The sequence below is a fragment of the Homo sapiens genome, chromosome 16, assembly GCF_000001405.40.
Source record: "Homo sapiens chromosome 16, GRCh38.p14 Primary Assembly".
Classification (NCBI taxonomy): Eukaryota; Metazoa; Chordata; class Mammalia; order Primates; family Hominidae; genus Homo; species Homo sapiens.
The window spans coordinates 58,297,705-58,316,116 of NC_000016.10; positions in this window are offsets into that span (position 1 = coordinate 58,297,705).

Genomic DNA, 18,412 nt, shown 5'->3' on the forward strand with positions numbered 1-18,412 from the left:
AGACGTGCTTTGTGGCCTAATATGTGATAAGAATTGTTGTACCTGTACCATGTTTGCTTGAGGAAAATGTACTGTCAGTATCTGTCAATTATCCTCCAACTTGTTGACTGTGCTATTCAAATTTTCTGAATTATTCCTGATTTTTTGTCTGCTTGACCTATCGATCATTCAGAAAGGTGCCTCCTATTATACTAGTGTATTTGCCCATTTCTCCCTATAGTTATAGCAATTTTTGCTTTATGTGTTTTGAAGCCATTTTCACCCAGATACACAAGTTTAGAATTGTCAACTATTCTTGGTAAATTGAACTATGGTTGATTCTCATTATTCGCTGTAGCTATGTTTTATAAAGTCCTGACAAACACTGAATTAATGAGTACTGAACTTTTGTTCCTTGGGGAAATAACAAGAGTAGGTTCCTGAAAGCCTCTGGTCACAACAGTTTTATAAAATGGAGTACAATGATGCGATCTCGGCTCACTGCAACCTCAACGTCCTGGGCTCAAGTGATCCTCCTGGATAATTTTTTTTTTTTTTTTTTGTAGAGACAGGGTTTTGCCCAGGCTGGTCTTGAACTCTTGAGCTCAAGCGATCCACCTGCTTCAGGCTCCCACAGTGCTGGGATTATAGGTGTGAGCCACCGTGCTGGGCCTCTGTCTTTTTAATTGATACGCATACTCCTCTTATGTTTATTGGGATTATTGATTTATTTTTTCTGCTCCTCTTCCTCCTCCCACCTCTCACCCTCAAGAAGGCCCCAGTGTCTGTTGCCCCCCTCTTGGTGTCCATGTATTCTCACCATTTAGCTCCCACTTATAAGTGAGAACATGCGGTATTTGATTTTCTGTTCCTGCATTGGTTTGCTAAGGATAATGGCCTCCAGCTCCATCCGTTTGTTTCTGCAAAAGACATGGTATCATTCTTTTTTATGGTTGCATGGTATTCCATTGTGTATATTCCATGGTATATATGTACCACATTTTTAAAATCCAATCTATCATTGATGGGAATTTAGGTTGATTCCATGTCTTTGCTACTGTGAATAGTGCTGCAATGAACATTCGAAATGCACATTTAACTTAATCACCTCTAACATTAATTACTATCTTAACTCTTTCATGATAATACGACAAGCTTAAAATACTTTAAACTTCTGCTCATGCTCTCGTTCCATATTTTAGTTCCATACATTATACTTTATCATTTTATTCAGATAATAATTATTTAGATTTGAGTATCTCTTCCATGAATAGTCTTTAGAAATTTTAGTACAAGCTTCTTGATGACAAATGTTTTTGTTTTTCCTAATGTAAAAATGTATTTTTTTGTATCCCTTTCTGAAAAATGGTTTTGTGGGTATACAACTCTAGGTTAAGAGTTATTTTCTCTCAGTTCTCTGGAGGTGCTTTTTCTCTGTCTTCTGAGTACCATTGTTTAAGGTCTCCCTGAAATCCAATTGTTTTTCCATTATGGGTGCTCTGTCCTTTTCCTCTGGCCCCTGTTAAGAACTTCTTTCATTTTTGGTGTACTATGGTTTTACTATGATACTTTAAGCATTAATTTATTTTTAGTTTATTATTGTAGGATATATTATGCTTTCTAGCTTTGTGTATTTATATTTTTTCATAAGTTCTGAAACAATCTCAGCCATTATCTTTGCAAATATTGCCTCTTCTTCAGGCTCTCTATTCTTTACTTTTGGGATTTCAAATAGATATATGTTAGACTTTCTCATTCCATCCTTCATATATCTCATCAAAGCCTTCATATTTTAATTTTTTATCACTTTGTGTTGCATTTTGGGTGATTACTGTAGACATATCTTCCAGTTTATTAATTCTCTCTTCATCTTTGTCTAATTTTCTGTTCAACCATCCTCTGGAGGTTTTTAAAAATTCAACATTCAATTTTTTTTATTTCTAGAAGACATGTTTTTAAATCTCCCTGTTTGTTTCTGGTTGCATCTTGTCAGGAGCTCATCTGTGTCATTACATCCATTATTTCTGCAACCATTTCATATATATCTGCTCTATATTTGGTATTCGACAGTTCCAAGATCTGCTATTTGGGGGAGAGGGGGATTCCAAATGTTTTTAGTTTCATCTACTCTCACACAATGTGGCTTGCATTTCCTGTGTGCCTTCCTAATAATTGTGAATTCATTTTTTGTTCCTAATATAGGGCTCTAACTTGGATACACTTTCTTCCAGACAGAAGTTGCTTCTGCCTCTACTGGTCACCAGAGGGCGCCACTAACCAGGGACTGTGGCTTGGCTTCCTACCCTCTCTGCTGGTAAAGTGTTTTAACAGCTGTGCTGCTGCCCCTAAGGCAACCCCTCCTCTCCCAGAGGTTAGCAGCTCATTTTTCTTGGAATCTTCTCCTAAAGTTAGTGGGAGCAAGGATAACTCAAAGGGTGTGTCCTCTGCACTGTTTTGCAGTGAGAGGTCATCTCAGATCACCTAGTCTGCAGTGATGCTCAAAGCTGAAGGGGCTGAGCCTCACAACATAGTACACACTCAAAGCTGGACTAATGGATGCCCAGTCGAGCAAAACATAATTTCCAGGTAGTCATCGTGCTTCCTGTTTGTACTTTTGGATTTTTGGTTTCTATTGTTTGGCTTTATTCACTCAAATTTTTGGCTGCTTGCTTGAACTCATCCTACTCTCAGATTCATATGTCCCAGTGAAAGTGATTCACATTAGAGTCTCAGCCACTCTTTTTCTGAGTTACAGTATTTACACTTCTGTTTTTCATCACTGTTTTTACACTTCACTGAACCTCTTTTAACCTTCCCCTCATTTTTGTGAGTTGGGGCTATAATGCCATGCAGAGCTGATAGTCCCACAGGCCCAGGGTAAACCTGCAACCAACCCTACCAGATTCCCTCATCTCTGGAATTTGAGTCTTGAGCCAAGGGACAAAAAGAGTGTAACAGCTGGAGCTGCCACGCTAGGCCAACAGCAGGTTCTTTGGCTCCACTGCCACATCAGGAGCTCTTCCCTGTCCTGTCCTCCCTGAGAGTTGGAGCTTCTATGTTCTATCTCAAATCCCACCAGCACATTTCTTTTCTGCATGCTAGTCAGAGACAGTTTGTGTTGCTTCTGACCAAAAAAACCCTTACTGATCCACGGGTCTTGTGCTTGGAGTATCTTTCATGCCTAAACATTTTAATTCCAAGTCTGATCAATGACTAGTGCCAGTAAGGTCTTTTCAACAATAAAAAGAGCAGCAGTCATTGGAAAACAATTATTTGTTAGAGTAGACTTGTGTTTCATCATGGTTAATGTTCATAGAGTTTTTATAAAAACACATTGTGGAACATTTTGTATATACAAAAGAATACATTTAATGTATATCAATAACAGCATAAACACAAAAGCAACAACATTCTGAGGTACCTGCAACCCAGTTTATGAATTATGTTAGAACATCACCACGGAGTATATATGAAGCCCCTTGTTGGCCCTTCCCCATCATGTTCCTCTTCCTCTCCAAGGAGAACAGCACAGGTTTCTTTCATTCACCATCATCTAGTAGGATTTACCTCTGGAATGCAAGGATGGTTCATCAACCACAAGTCTATAAATCTGATATACCACATTAACAGAATGAAGCATAGAAATTGTTATCATCTCGATACATGGAGAAAAGCATTTAATAAAATTCAACACCCTTTCATGATTAAAAAAACTCACAACAAATTAAGTATAGAAGGAATATAGCTCAATATAATAAAAGTCATATTATGAGATAATATTATTATCAAGCCCACAACTAATATCATACTCAACAGTGAAAAGCTGAAAGCTTTTCCTCTAGGATCAGGAACAAGACAAGGATGCCCACTTTTACCGTTTCAATTAAATATATTAATAGTACTGGAGGTCCTAGCCAGAACAACTAGGCAAGAAAAAGAAATAAAAAGCATCCAGATCAGAAAGAAAGAAGTAAAGTTGTCTTTGTTGGCAGATGACATGACTTTATATATATAGAAAACCCTAAATATTCTACCAAAAAAATGTTAGGTTTGAGCCTCAGGAAAGGAGAAAACAAAAAAAACCTGTTAGGACTAATAAACAAATTCAGTAGAGTGGCAGGATACAAAATCAACATACAAAAACCAGTAGCATTTCTGTCCACTAAGAATAAACTATCTAAAAAAGAAATCAAGAAAACAATCCCATGTATAATAGCATAAAAATTACTTAGGAATAAATTTAACTAAGGAGGTGAATGATCTGTATGCTAAAAACTATAAAATGTTGCTGAAAAAAATGAAGAAGACACAAATGAATGGAAAGATACCCCATATTCATGGATTGAAAGAATTAATATTGTTAAAAGTTCCACGTAATCTATAGATCAAATGCAATCCCTATCAAAATTCCAATGACATTTTTCTTTTCTTTTTTTTTAAATATATAAACAAAAGAGGTTTAATTGACTCACAGTTCTGCATGGCTGGGGATGCCTCAGGAAACTTACAATCATGGTGGAGGGCCAAGGGGAAGCAAGGCATGTCTTACATGGCATCAGGAGAGAGCTCCAGTGACATTTTTCATACAAATGGAAAAAAAATCCTAAAATTGGTATGGAACCACAGAAGACCCTGAATAGCCAAAGCAATCTTAAGCAAAAAGAACAAAGCTGGAGACGTCATACTATCTGACTTCAAAATATATGTATGGTACCATAAAATAGACATATAGACCAATAGAATAGAATAGAGCACCCAGAAATAAATTTGTACATTTATGGTCAATTTATCTTCAGCGAAGATGGCAAGAACATGCAATAGGAAAAGAATAGTCTTTTCAATAAATGGTCTTGGGAAAATTGGATGTCTACATGTAGAAGAATAAAATTAGGCCATTATCTCATGCCACATAAAAATAAATTCAAAATGGATTAGAGACTTAAACTTAAGACCTGAAACTATAAAACTATTAGACAAAAACATAGAGGAAAAGCTTCTTGACATTGGCCTGGGTGATGATTTTTTGGATTTGACTTGAAAACACAGGCAACAAAAGCCAAAATAGACAAATGAGATTGCATCAAACTAAAAAGTGTTTTTGTTTATTTGTTTGTTTGTTTGTTTTTCACAAGAAAGAAAACAAAACAGGGCCAGGCACGGTGGCTCACACCTGTAATCCCAGCACTTTGGTAGGCCGAGGTGGGCGGATCACCTGAGGTTGGGAGTTTGAGACCAGCCTGACCAACATGGAGAAACCCTGTCTCTACTAAAAATACAAAATTAGCCGGGCGTGGTGGCGCATGCCTGTAATCCCAGCTACTCGGGAGGCTGAGGCAGGCGAATAGCTTGAACCTGGGAGGCAGAGGTTGCGGTGAGCCGAGATCGCACCATTGCACTCCAGCCTGAGCAACAAGAGCGAAGACTCCATCTCAAAAAAAAAAAAAAAAAAAAGATAAAATACCAACAGAGTAAAGAGACAACTATGAAATGGGAAAAAATATTTTCAAACCATACATTCTGATAAGAGGTTAATATCCAAAATACATAAGAAACTCAAACAACTCAATAACAAGAAAATAAATCACCCAATTAAAAAATTGACAAAGAACCTGAAATAGGTATTTCTCAAAAGAAGACACACAAATGGCCCACAGGTATATGGAAAAAATGTTCAACATCACTAATCATCAGAGAAATGCAAATCAAAACTATAAATCATCTCACACCTGTTATTATCAAAAAGACAAAAACTAACAAGTGTTGGCAAGGATGTGGAAAAAAAGGAAATCTTGTACACTATTGGTGGGAATATAAAACCCATTATGGGAAGGAATATGGAAGTTCCTCAAAATATTAAAAATAGAACTACCCTATGATCTAGTAATCCCACTTCTGGGTGTGTATACAAATGAAATCACTGTGTCAATGAGATATCTGCACTCCTGTGTTCATTGCAGCATTATTCACAATAGCCAAGATATGAAAGCAACCTAAGTGTTCATCAATGGATAAATGGATTTAAAAAAACCCGTAGTACATATACACACAATAGAATGCTATTCAGCCTTAAGAAAGAAGAAAATTCATTTTCTTTCTTTTTTTTAAACATGGATATGTTCTTTAGTGGTGATTTCTGAGATTTTGGTGCACCCATCACCTGAACAGTATGCACTGTACCCAATGTGTAGTCTTTTATCCCTCACTGCCCCTTTTCCCTGAGTCCCCAAAGTCCACTGTATCATTCTTATGCCTTTGCATCCACATAGATCAGCTCCCAGTTATAAGTGAGAACATACGATGCTTGGTTTTCCATTCCTGAGTTACTTCACTTAGAATAATGGTCTCCAATTCCATCCAGGTTGCTGCGAATGCTCATTATTTCCTTCCTTTTTATCCACTCATATATATATATATATATATATATATATATATATATATATATATGCACACACACACATATATATGTATGTATGTATATATATAACATTTTATATATTATCTATATCTATATATAGATAGATAGATATAACATTTTCTTTATCCACTTTGGGTTGGTTCCATATTTTTGCAATTTTAAATTGTGCTGCTATAAACATGCATATGCAAGTATCTCTTTTGTATAATGACTTCTTTTCCTCTGGGTAGATACTCAGTAGTGGCATTGCTGGATCAAATGGTAGATCTACTTTTAGTTCTTTAAGGAATCTTCGCTCTGCTTTCCATAGTGGAAAGTTTACATTCCAACTAATGGTGTAAAAGTGTTCCCTTTTTACCACATTTGCACCAACATCTATTAATTTTTGATTTTTTTATTACAGCTATTCTTGCAGGAGTAAGGTGGTATTGCATTGTGGGTTTTGATTTGCATTTCCCCGATAATTAGTGATGTTGAGCTTTTTTTCATATGTTTGTTGGTCGTTTGTATATCTTCTTTTGAGAATTGTCTGTTCATGTTCTTAGCCTACTTTTTGATGGGATTGTTTGTTTTTTTCTTGATGATTTCTTTGAGTTCCTTGTAGATTCTGGATATTAGTCCTTTGTCAGATGCATAGCTTGCAAAGATTTTCTCTCACTCTGTGGGTTGTCTGTTTACTCTGCTAATTATTATTATTATCATCATTATTATTATTTTGTTGTGCAGAAGCTTTTTAGTTTAATTAAGTCCCATCTATTTAACTTTGTTTTTGTTGCATTTGCTTTGGATTCTTGATCAATAAGTCTTTGCCTAATACAATGTCTAGAAGGGTTTTTCTGATGTTATCTTCTAGGATTTTTATGGTTTCAGGTCTTATATTTAAGTCTTTGATCCATATTGAGTTGACTTTTGTATAAGGTGAAAGATGAGGATGCAGTTTCATTCTTCTACATGTGGCTTGCCAATTATCCCAGCACCATTTGTTGAATAGGATGTCCTTTCTCTACTTTATGTTTTCATTTGCTTTGTTGAAGATCAGTTGGCTGTAAGTATTTGGCTTTGTTTCTGGGTTCTTTATTCTGTTCCATTGGTCTGTGTGCCTATTTTTATACCAGTACCATGCTGTTTTGGTGACTATAGCCTGATAGTATAGTTTGAAGCTGGGTAATGTGATGCCTCCAGGTTTGTTCTTTTTGCTTAGTCTTGCTTTGGCTATGTGGGCTCTTTTTTGGTTCCATATGAATTTTAGGATTGTTTTTTTCTGTTCTGCGAAGAATGATGGTGGCATTCTCATGGGCATTGCATTAAATTTGTAGATTGCTTTTGGCAGTTTGGTCATTTTCACAGTATTGATTCTACCCATCCATGAGTATGGGATATGTTTCCATTTGTTTGTGTCATCTATTATTTCTTTCAGCAGCGTTTTGTAGTTTTCCTTGTAGAGGTCTTTTGCCTCCTTGGTTAGGTATATTCCTAAGTATTTTAGTTTTTTGTAGCTATTATAGCTATTGTAAAAGGGGTTGAGTCCTTAATTTGATTCTCGGCTTGGTCATTGTTGGTGTAAAGCAGTGCTACTAATTTGTGTACATTAATTTTGTACCTGAAACTTTACTGAATTCATTTATTAGTTCCAGGAGCTTTTTAAATGAGTCTTTAGGGTTTTCTAGGTATATAATCATATGATCAGCAAACAGTGACAGTTTGACTTCCACTTTACTGATTTAAAGTGGAGAGAAATAAAGAAATAAATATCTCCTTTAAAGAAATAAAGAGCATCTCTTGTCTGATTGCTCTGCCTAGAACTTCCAGTACTGTGTTGAATAGAAGTGGTGAAAGTGTGCATCCTTGTCTTGTTCCAGTTCTCAGAGGTAATGCTCTCAATTTTTCCCATTAAGTATAATGTTGGCTATGGGTTTAGAAAATTCATTTTCAACTGCATGAACGAATCTGTAGGATATTATGCTAAATGAAATAAGCCAGACACAGAGTGACAAATGCTGAGTGATCTTGTTGATATGTGGAATCTAAAAAAATCGAACTCAGGAGCAGAGAACACAATGGTGGTTGCCAGGGGCTGGGGGTGGGGACCTGGGGAGATGTTGCTCAAAGAGTACAAAAATTTGAGTTAGGTAGGATGAATACCTGGAGATCTATTGTACAATATGGTTGCTATAGTTAATAATAACGTATTATGTTATTGAAAATTACTGAGAGGAGATATTGAATGTTCTCACCACACACAAAGATAACTATGTGAGGTCATGGATATGTTAATTTACTTAATTGTGGTATAATCATTTCACAACATATACATATATTTAAGATCACATTGTGCACTGTAAATATACACAATTTTTTTTTTTTTTTGAGATTGAGTCTTGCTCTGTCAACAGGCTGGAGTACAGTGGCGCCATCTCCTGGCTCACTGCAACTTCCACCTACCTGGTTCAAGTGATTCTCCTGCCTCAGCCTCCCCAGTAGCTGAGATTACAGGAGTGCACCACCATGCCCAGCTAATTTTTGTATTTTTAGTAGGGACGAGGTTTCTCCATGTTGGCCAGGCTGGTCTCAAACTCCTGACCTCAGGTGAGCCACGTGCCTTGGCCTCCCAAAATGCTGAGATTATAAGCGTGAGCTACCATGCCTGGCCAAATATACACACTTTTCATTTGTCAATTATACCTCAATAAAGCTGAGAAAAAATAAAAGGACAAAAAAGGAGATTCTAATAAATAATATAATATAATAAATTCCTCTAACGTTTCAAAAAAAAAGAAAGAAATTGACATTATTGGTGAAGGTGAAGTCTCTAGCATGGCCGAGACAGGCAGCCTTTTTCCCTTCTCCCTCCCCAAGGTCATCACTACAACAACAACACTGCTGTTTTTACACTTTTACTACAAATTACATGTATCCATAAACAACATGCTGCATTGTGTGTGTTTTTTAAATGGGCTCACACCATACATATCATTCTGCTGCTTGCTCTTTTTTTTTTCTTTTTTCTTTTTTGAGATGAAGTCTCATTCTGTCACCCAGGCTGCAGTGCAGTGGCAAATCGGCTCACTGCAACCTCTGCCTCCCAGGTTCAAGCAATTTTCCTGCCTCAGCCTCCCAAGTAGCTGGGATTACAGGTGCCTGCCACCACGCCTGGCTAATTTTTTGTATTTTTAGTTGAGATGGGGTTTCACCATGTTGGCCAGGCTGGTCTCAAACTCCTGACTTCAAGTGATTCGCCTGCCCCGGCCTCCCAAAGTGCTGGGATTACAGTTGTGAGCCACCATGCCCGGCCTACTGCTTGCTCTTTCATCATTATTTCAAGATTTAGTCCATTCATTTTCATTGCTGTCAAGTATTCTATCCCATAAACACACCTCAATTTATTGATTCATTCCCCTGCCCATGGACATTTGCATTGTTGCCAATTTCTAAAATATTAACAAATAATCCTGTAGTAAACATTGTTGTACCATTATCCATATGCAAGTGTAAAGGATGTAAACCAAAAATAAAATTCTAAGCTTGCTAACCATCTGAATGGACAGGGCATTCCAAAGTTAACCTGAAAAACTAGCTCAGGCCATGATGGGAAGAGGGAGTCAGACAGGCCTCATTATACCTTTCTGTCTTGGAATTCAGACCCAGCTGACCAGTACTGATATCAACACAGACCTTAAGACTGATAGAACAGACTCTTTAAGTCTGATAAGAAACATTTACAATCTATTCTTTCTGAAGCCTGCTATCTGGAGGCTTCATCTGCATAAAACCTTGGTCTCTACAACCCCTATTATAACCCAGACATTCCTTCCTATTGATTCCAGGTCTTTAGATAATAACTCTTTCAACCAATTGCCAATCAGAAAATCTTTGAATCTGCCTATGACCTTGAAGCTTTGAAATTATTGGTAAAGTAATATTAGGAATGTCTTAAGAATTGTCAGCATTTTTTGTTTGCATTTATTAAGCAGTTTCATACTTATCTCTGCTAAACACTACACTGTGTCAAAATTTGACATAAGGGCTAGAAAAGTATGAAACCAGCCCATGACAGAATGATTCTTTGCTTGTGTAATTTTTTTTTTTTTTTTTTTGAGAGAGAGTCTCCCTCTGCTGCCCAGGCTAGAGGGCAGTGGTGCAATCTTGGCTCACTGCAACCTTAGCCTCCCAGGTTCAAGCGTCTCCTGCCTCGGCCTACCGAGTAGCTGGGACTACAGGCACGTGCCACCACACCTGGATAATTGTTGTGTTTTTAGTAGAGACAGGGTTTTGCAATGTTGGCCAGGCTGGTCTCAAACTCCTGACCTCAGGTGACCCACCCACCTCAGGCTCCCAAAGTGCTGGGATTACAGGTGTGAGCCACTGCACCTGCCCTGCTTGTGTAATTTTTGATAAATAAGACATCTAATATCACTGGTTCAATGAAAACAACTAAATCCTATGTTATTGGTAAAATGCCCATATATTTAACCTTAAGTTTTTTACTTAGATAAACAGTGAAATTCACAGGCCATAAAGGTTGTTAAGAGAAAAATAACTTTAAATGATGACTATCACAGTTTTCATAATAATCTAGGTAAACTATTAAAAACAAAATAAGTAATCAGGTAAATGTAATAGAATAAATGCTTGTAAACAAATGTCATATAATATAGAATCTAAGGTTATATTAAAAAATATTCATTAAATTTCTGAGTAATTTCAAATTTAAAAGATTATAGGAAAACCTTTTTCTAAAAAAAGTATACTCTTGTTAAAAGGTAAATAATTTCTGTCTAATTCAAAGGTCATTTAAAGGTTATATATAAAACAAGGTGAAAAGAACCAGAAAAATAACTTTATATCTATATCTTTTTATATCTATAACTTTCTTTATAGTTTACTTTCTTTATAGGTACTTTTGGTAAGAAAGGTTAAAAGAAAAATAACTTTGTATGACAGAGAATTGTATATTGCAAATTTTTGTCTTAAAATAAAATGACTGGTTGTTTAAAAAAGAGGGATGTTGGCCAAGCACAGTGGCTCATGCCTGTAATCCTAGCACTTTGGAGGGCCGAGGCAGGCAGATCAACTGAGGTCAGAAGTTCAAGACCAGCCTGGCCAACATGGCAAAACCCCATGTCTACTAAAAATACAAAAATTAGCCAGGCTTGGTGGTGGGCACCTGTAATCCCAGCTACTCAGGAGGCTGAGGTGTGAGAATCACTTGAATGAGACATGAGAATCACTTGAACCCGGGAGGCGGAGGTTGCAATGAGCCAAGATCGCGTCACTGCATTCCAGCCTGGGTGACAGAGCCAGACTCCATCTCAAAAAAAAAAAAAAAAAAAGAAAAAGAAAGAGGGATGTTTAGGACAAACCAGAAAGCCCAAGCATGTTATGAATGATTGTGTAAGTTGTAATAAGGTTAGTAAAAAAGGAATTTTTTTTTTTTTTTTTTTTTTGAGATGGAGTCTCACTCTGTTGCCTGGGCTGGAGTGCAGTGGTGCGATCTTGGTTTACTGTAAGCTCTGCCTCCTGGGTTCATGCCATTCTCCTGCTTCAGCCTCCCGAGTAGCTGGGACTACAGGCGCCTGCCACCATGCCCAGCTAATTTTTTTGTATTTTTTTTAGTAAAGACGGGGTTTCACCGTGTTAGCCAGGATGGTCTGGATCTCCTGACCTCGTGATCCACCTGCCTTGGCCTCCCAAAGTGTTGGGATTACAGGCATGAGCCAACATGCCTAGCCAAAAAGGAATTTATTTTTAAAATGTTATGATTAAGTTGGCTATAATTAAAAGGGAAATATATGGCCAGGTGTAGTGGCTCATGCCTGTAATCCCAGCACTTTGGGAGGCTGAGGTGGGTGGATCACCTGAGGTCAGGAGTTCGAGACCAACCTGGCAAAACCTGGTGAAACTCCGTCTCTACTAAATATACAAAAATTAGCTGGGCGTGGTGGCAGGCGCCTGTAATCCCAACTACTCAGGAGGCTGAGGCAGGAGAATCACTTGAACCCTGGAGGCGGAGGTTGCAGTGAGCTGAGATCATGCCATTGTGCTCCAGCCTGAGTGACAGAGCAAGACTCCATCACAAAAAAAAAAAAATTGGGAAATATGTCTTTCTAGAAATTGGACTTTGATATCAAAAATACACCAATACAAAACTAAAGGATTGGTTAGAATAAGATTTTATTTAAAATATTGACTTATTCTTAATGCAAGAAGTTTTAAATTTTTAAATTCCATAACCTTTTTCTTTTTGAAAATTCTTCAGATTGATATCTCATAAGTTCAATTTCTGCCGTACTCCACTGCCTCAGCTCTTTCTCTCTTTTGAGAAGGCCTGGGATGGGAACTCTCTCTTTCAACTTTTGTTGGCTCCTATAATTTTTTTTTTTAAATAGTCTAATGTAAGGGAGATAATTTTGGAAACAGGCAAATGAAAAATCTTATGGGATCTGCCTTTGTATGTCTGCTATGTCTATATGCTTGTATGTGTCATGTGGAAGTAAGATTTCACTACCAAACTATAAAAAGAGCTCTAATCAGTTGGCTTAAAATAAGTGTTTATCAGACTAATAACAGCTAGCTCAGATGCCTTTTAGTTCACATGACTTTAGTAATATTTGGTAAGATTAATTTGGTAAATATAATTGCAAACATTTTCTTCAGTAGTTTAAAATCTTAAAGTCACGTTATGTTAAATTAAGTAATCCTCTGTTTTTCTCACCGGTAATTTGGGTTACTAAGAGTTAAAATCATAGAAAAATAAAATGTGTTTTGGGTAAAGTTTATAAAAACACAGGATGTGGTTTTTGTTAAAGAAAATGTAATTTTTTATTTTAGTTTAGAGGATATTTATTTAAGTAAAGGGAAAATTATATACATAAAACTAAATGAATAAAGAGAAATTTTTAAAGGTGAGATATGAGAAACCTTTGACTCTTGGGTGGCCACATGGTCAACCCATCTTTAGGGGCTGCAGCTGGGCTGCATTCATTTACTAAAGGTAAAGGTTACTGTGGAATTTAGAGATGGATCATACTCCTACTCCCAGGAAGTTAGTTCACTGGATGCATAAGGAAATGCAGACTAATAAGGAAAAAACAAAATATTCAACTGGCTATTGTTATCTGTAATAGCCAAAATGAAAGTCAAAGAGAGCTGAATTGGGCCTTAAGGCTGGACCAAGCTCAGATGTGGGTCTCTCTCAGGTCAGGCCACTAGCCCCTTAGCTACCCACAAAAGTTAAGATTAAGCCAGGGCAACAAGAGTTACCTCTGAGACCTGTAGTTATTATACCAAGATGATAGTCAGTGTGGGGGAAGGGCAAAACCAAGTAACTATTAAAATCAGAGGATATAATGTAAAATAATTGTTCCACTTTGTAGATTGGTATTATCAGTTTCCTGAGAAACCTTTACTGTAATGGGTTATAAAAATAACTACTTTAAGGACCATATCTATAATTTCAAATGCTACAGAATGAAAGAGCATGTTTGGGTTGATGCAGGACCCACAGCTCACTATTGAACAACCTCTGATGAGTATATGTGATTCAGACACATAGGAGGTTATTCCTGAGAGAACAACCAGCCCAGTAGACTGGATAAATGCCACTGTAAGGTCTGTTTACCCTGAGAAGTGGACTTCCTAACTTTCCCTATAAAATGCCATGTGGAGCACCCCAGATGAAGCAGCTGGTATGCTTCATATGCAAACCATGTGGGCCTGGCTTTATGGTGATCAGGATATTCTCCCAGTGAATATGCCTTTCCCAGGTCATGGTAAATGCCATGGTTAGGGGGCCCCTTCTACATGGGAACCCCAGGTGACATTACTCCTGCACAACCAAACGACTGATTGAGAAGCCTTACCAAATTTGCTGTCCCTCATGGGTCTTATAGATGCTAATAAAACATTAATTAACAAAAAAAATGGGAAAGGCAAAAGAAACTCAAAAGACTAGTTCTAGAAGGGTGAAAATCTTTAGATGGCCATTAAGAAATGAAATAAATAAAATGAAAATTGATGGAGGTTAAAACAAAGGTCTTTATAACACTTACCAAAGCTTGGGTGGACCAAAGGGAGCCACTACTGGTCTCCCAATGTTACTGGAAAGGGGTCCGGATCCAGACCCCAAGAGGGCATTCTTGGATCCCATGCAAGAAAGAATTCAAGGTGAGTCCATAGTGTAAAGTGAAAGCAAGTTTATTGAGAAAGTAAAGGAATAAAGAATGGCTATGCCATAGTCAGAGCAGACCCGAGGGCTGTTGGTTGCCCATTTTTATGGTTATTTCTTGATGATATGCTATACAAGGGGTGGATTATTCATGCTTCCCCTTTTTAGACCACATAGGGTAACTTCCTGATGTTGCCATGGCATCTGTAAGCTGTCATGGCGCTGGTGGGAGTGTAGCAGTGAAGATGACCAGAGGTCACTCTCGTCACCATCTTGGTTTTGGTGGGTTTTAGCCGGCTTCTTTAAAGCAACCTGTTTTATCAGCAGGGTCTTTATGACCTGTATCTTGTGCTGACCTCCTGTCTCATCCTGTGACTAAGAATGCCTTAATCTCCTACGAATGCAGCCCAGCAGGTCTCAGCCTCATTTTACCCAGCCCCTATTAAAGATGGAGTAGCTCTGGTTCAAACGCCTGTGACACCAACATTCAAGGGCCCCACACTAGTTTTCTGCATGTTCCCCAGATTGGGGAGATTTGAGAAAAATCAAGAGGCAAAGGTTATAATGAGAAAGCTGACATTGCCTGGAGCAATACTGACACAAATTAAGATAAAAAATTGACAAAAGAGTCTGAGTCCGTTGGCTCAACTCCCTGCTGGGAACCCAAGTCCTTTTTCACCAGAAAAGGTAAAATAATTTGGGGGTGGAGAAGAAAAGTCCCTGGTACCAGAACATAAGAATGTGAAGATTTACAGGATTATGAAATTTGAGATGTTTAAACAGGCTTTATGTAATATAGTTGCAACTCCCTTATCTAAATGTCTTATGAAAATGGGTATCGTATCTGACTGGGGGATGTTTCTCCTACCTAGTACTATAAAACTGAAGGCATGTAAATCTACCTGTATTAGTCTGTTTTTACACTACTAATAATGACATACATAAGACTGGGTAATTTATAAAGGAAAGAGGTTTAATGGACTCACAGTTCCACATGGCTCAGGAGGACTCACAATCATGGCGGAAGGTGAAGGAGGAGCAAAATCATGTCTTACATGGCAGCAGGCAAAGAGAGCGTGTGCAAGGGAACTCCACTTTATAAAACCATCAGATCTCATGAGACTTATTCACTATCAGGAGAACAGCACAGGAAAGACCCACCCCTGTGATTCAATTACCTCCCATGATATCCCTCCCACGACACGTAGGAATTATGGGGGCTACAATTCAAGATGAGATTTGGGTGGGGACACAGCCAAACCATATCACTGCCCTTGGAGAAATGTTCATTGGACGTGCTAAATGGGAACTAGTAAGATTGCCTGAGCCCACAGAATATTGGGTAAAAGCTGGAGTACTGGTTGGGACAAATCCTCCACTGGTGGCTCTTTGTGGAGTGTTCACTGGGGCTTATGGCAAAAGCTGTGAGCACCTCCCAATGACAACTACTGAGACTCGAGTAGAGAATTTCCACTTGAGGTACATTTACTGCCTTGATATGGGATGTTAACTGAAACTTCCCGTATGCTAATGGAAATAATGGTGCCCAAAATAATTCCATGATAAAAAAATGGTTTATATAGCATCTTGCTACCTGGGGATGCAAAGTGGAGGTATTCATGAGCAGGGAGCCTCTTTTTCCCCTAGGACTGATCTAACCATGTAAGCAGCTGGTAGATTTTACAGTGCCTGATAAACAGCTCTCATCTGACAAGAGCTGCTTGACTTGTGAATGGCAGTTCCAAGGTGAACAAACAACATCTTGTTTGGAAGCCTGCTGCTCTGGTTAAAGACGAGTCAAGGAAATCTTTTTCTTTTGAGTTATTTATAGTTTAGAGCAATTGGGTAAAGAATATTTTTGTGAGCAAATTTACCTTTCTCTCTACCTGAGTTCTCCAAAATTTGGAAACTGTTCATGAGTATTCTGATTTTATATCAATATCGTTATTTGCATAAGTTTAGTAAGAGTCTTTTTCCTTTTAAAACAAAACAATTGGAGACATTGGTTATTCTACCAGCGCTTTGCCTAGAATAACATATTTTTAGTTAAAGTTCCAGCAAAGCCAACCTTAAAAGAGCCTATATGGCCAATCAATCATTGCTGCATTTTATGTAAATAATCAGGCCAAGTATAATAAGCCTACAACTTATTTTGCACAAAATTGGTCTTACTATAGTTTCTCTTTAGTAGAAAAGGAGGGCTAGAGAAAGATAAATTGTTTCAAAGAAAAATTATAACACCTGATACTAGATTCCAGCCCTGACATTTGTTTTTGAGTGAAGATTGAATCATGAATTACTTCTTGGCTACAGTAATCCTTTGGAGAGTATCAGGATATCATTTTCTAAATGTTTTTAGTTGGCACCCTAATGAAATAGGTTCCTTTTTTTCTGATCTGACACATGGATTCTCTTTTGATTATCAAATTATTAATGTTATTTATCTCTCATAGTTGTACTTCTTCCCAAAAAACCAGAATCATGGGATTCTGAAGACTAGAGATGATTGGACAAAGTCTGCGAATCTCCCTTATTTGGAATCCCCCTGGGGCCCATTTGTGTCTTACTGTAAATGCCCTACTGCTAAAACTCAACCAGCACCCCACCTCTAGCCCCAGGGACTATCGTGGAAGAGGTGTTCCACCAAAACAGGGAATGGGGTCCAATTCAATGCCTGGTCCTCCAAAATCATGAGATTGCAAGGGCTAGTTTTGAGGGATAGAGTTAGTTCAGACCCTCCAAATCAAGGATGGGTACACAGATGCCTAAACAGCAGGTAAAATAAGGGATTCTGCCTCCTGGGTTACTGGATTCATGGCACCTTTTCATTCATCCCAACCATAAACAATTTCCTGCTTCCTGTAGAATTAAAAGAAAATTATTACTAAAAGGATATAAAGATACCTTATGACAACACCTCCTGAGTATAATACACCCAGTTATGAGTTTATGCAGATAGATATATGTTTAAAAAAATTTTTACATCAGCCACCTTAGGACAAATTACTAAAAGATCACAAAAAAGCATTGCAGCACAACAAAAGTCTCTAAATGCCTTAGCTTAGAAGGTTTTTTGTTTTGTTTTTTTTTTTTTTTTTGAGACGGAGTCTTACTCTGTCACCCAAGCTGGAGTGCACTGGTAACGATCTCAGCTCACCGCAAGCTCCACCTCCCAGGTTCACGCCATTCTCCTGTCTCAGCCTCCCGAGTTAGCTCGGACTACAGGTGCCTGCCACCACGCCTGGCTAATTTTTTGTATATTTGGTAGAGACGGGGTTTCACCGTGTTAGCCAGGATGGTCTCGATCTCCTGACCTTGTGATCCACCCGCCTCAGCCTCCCGAAGTGCTGGGATTACAGGCGTGAGCCACTGTGCCTGGCCAGCTTAAAAGATTTTAACAATGCTTATGTTTTGTATAGCTAATTGTTTAACTAAAACCAAGATTACAGAAGCTTTAAGTCTGTAATTAAAACCAAGATTACAGTAGCTCAATGCATAGAAGTTAAAGATAAGTGAATTTTATAACCCTGCCTTTGGCATTTTGTTTGTTGGCTTTTATATTACTTTAAAAAATGTGAGGGTTGGCTGGGCGCGGTGACTCACGCCTATAATCCCAGCACTTTGGGAGGCCGAGGCAGGCGTATCACGAGGTCAGGAGATCCAGACCATCCTGGCTAACAAGGTGAAACCCCGTCTCTACTAAAAATACAAAAAATTAGCCGGGCGTGGTGGTGGATACCTGTAGTCCCAGCTACTCGGGAGGCTGAGGCAGGAGAATGCGTGAACCCAGGGGGCGGAGCTTGCGGTGAGCCGAGATGGCGCCACTGCACTCCAGCTTGGGCGCAGAGAGAGAC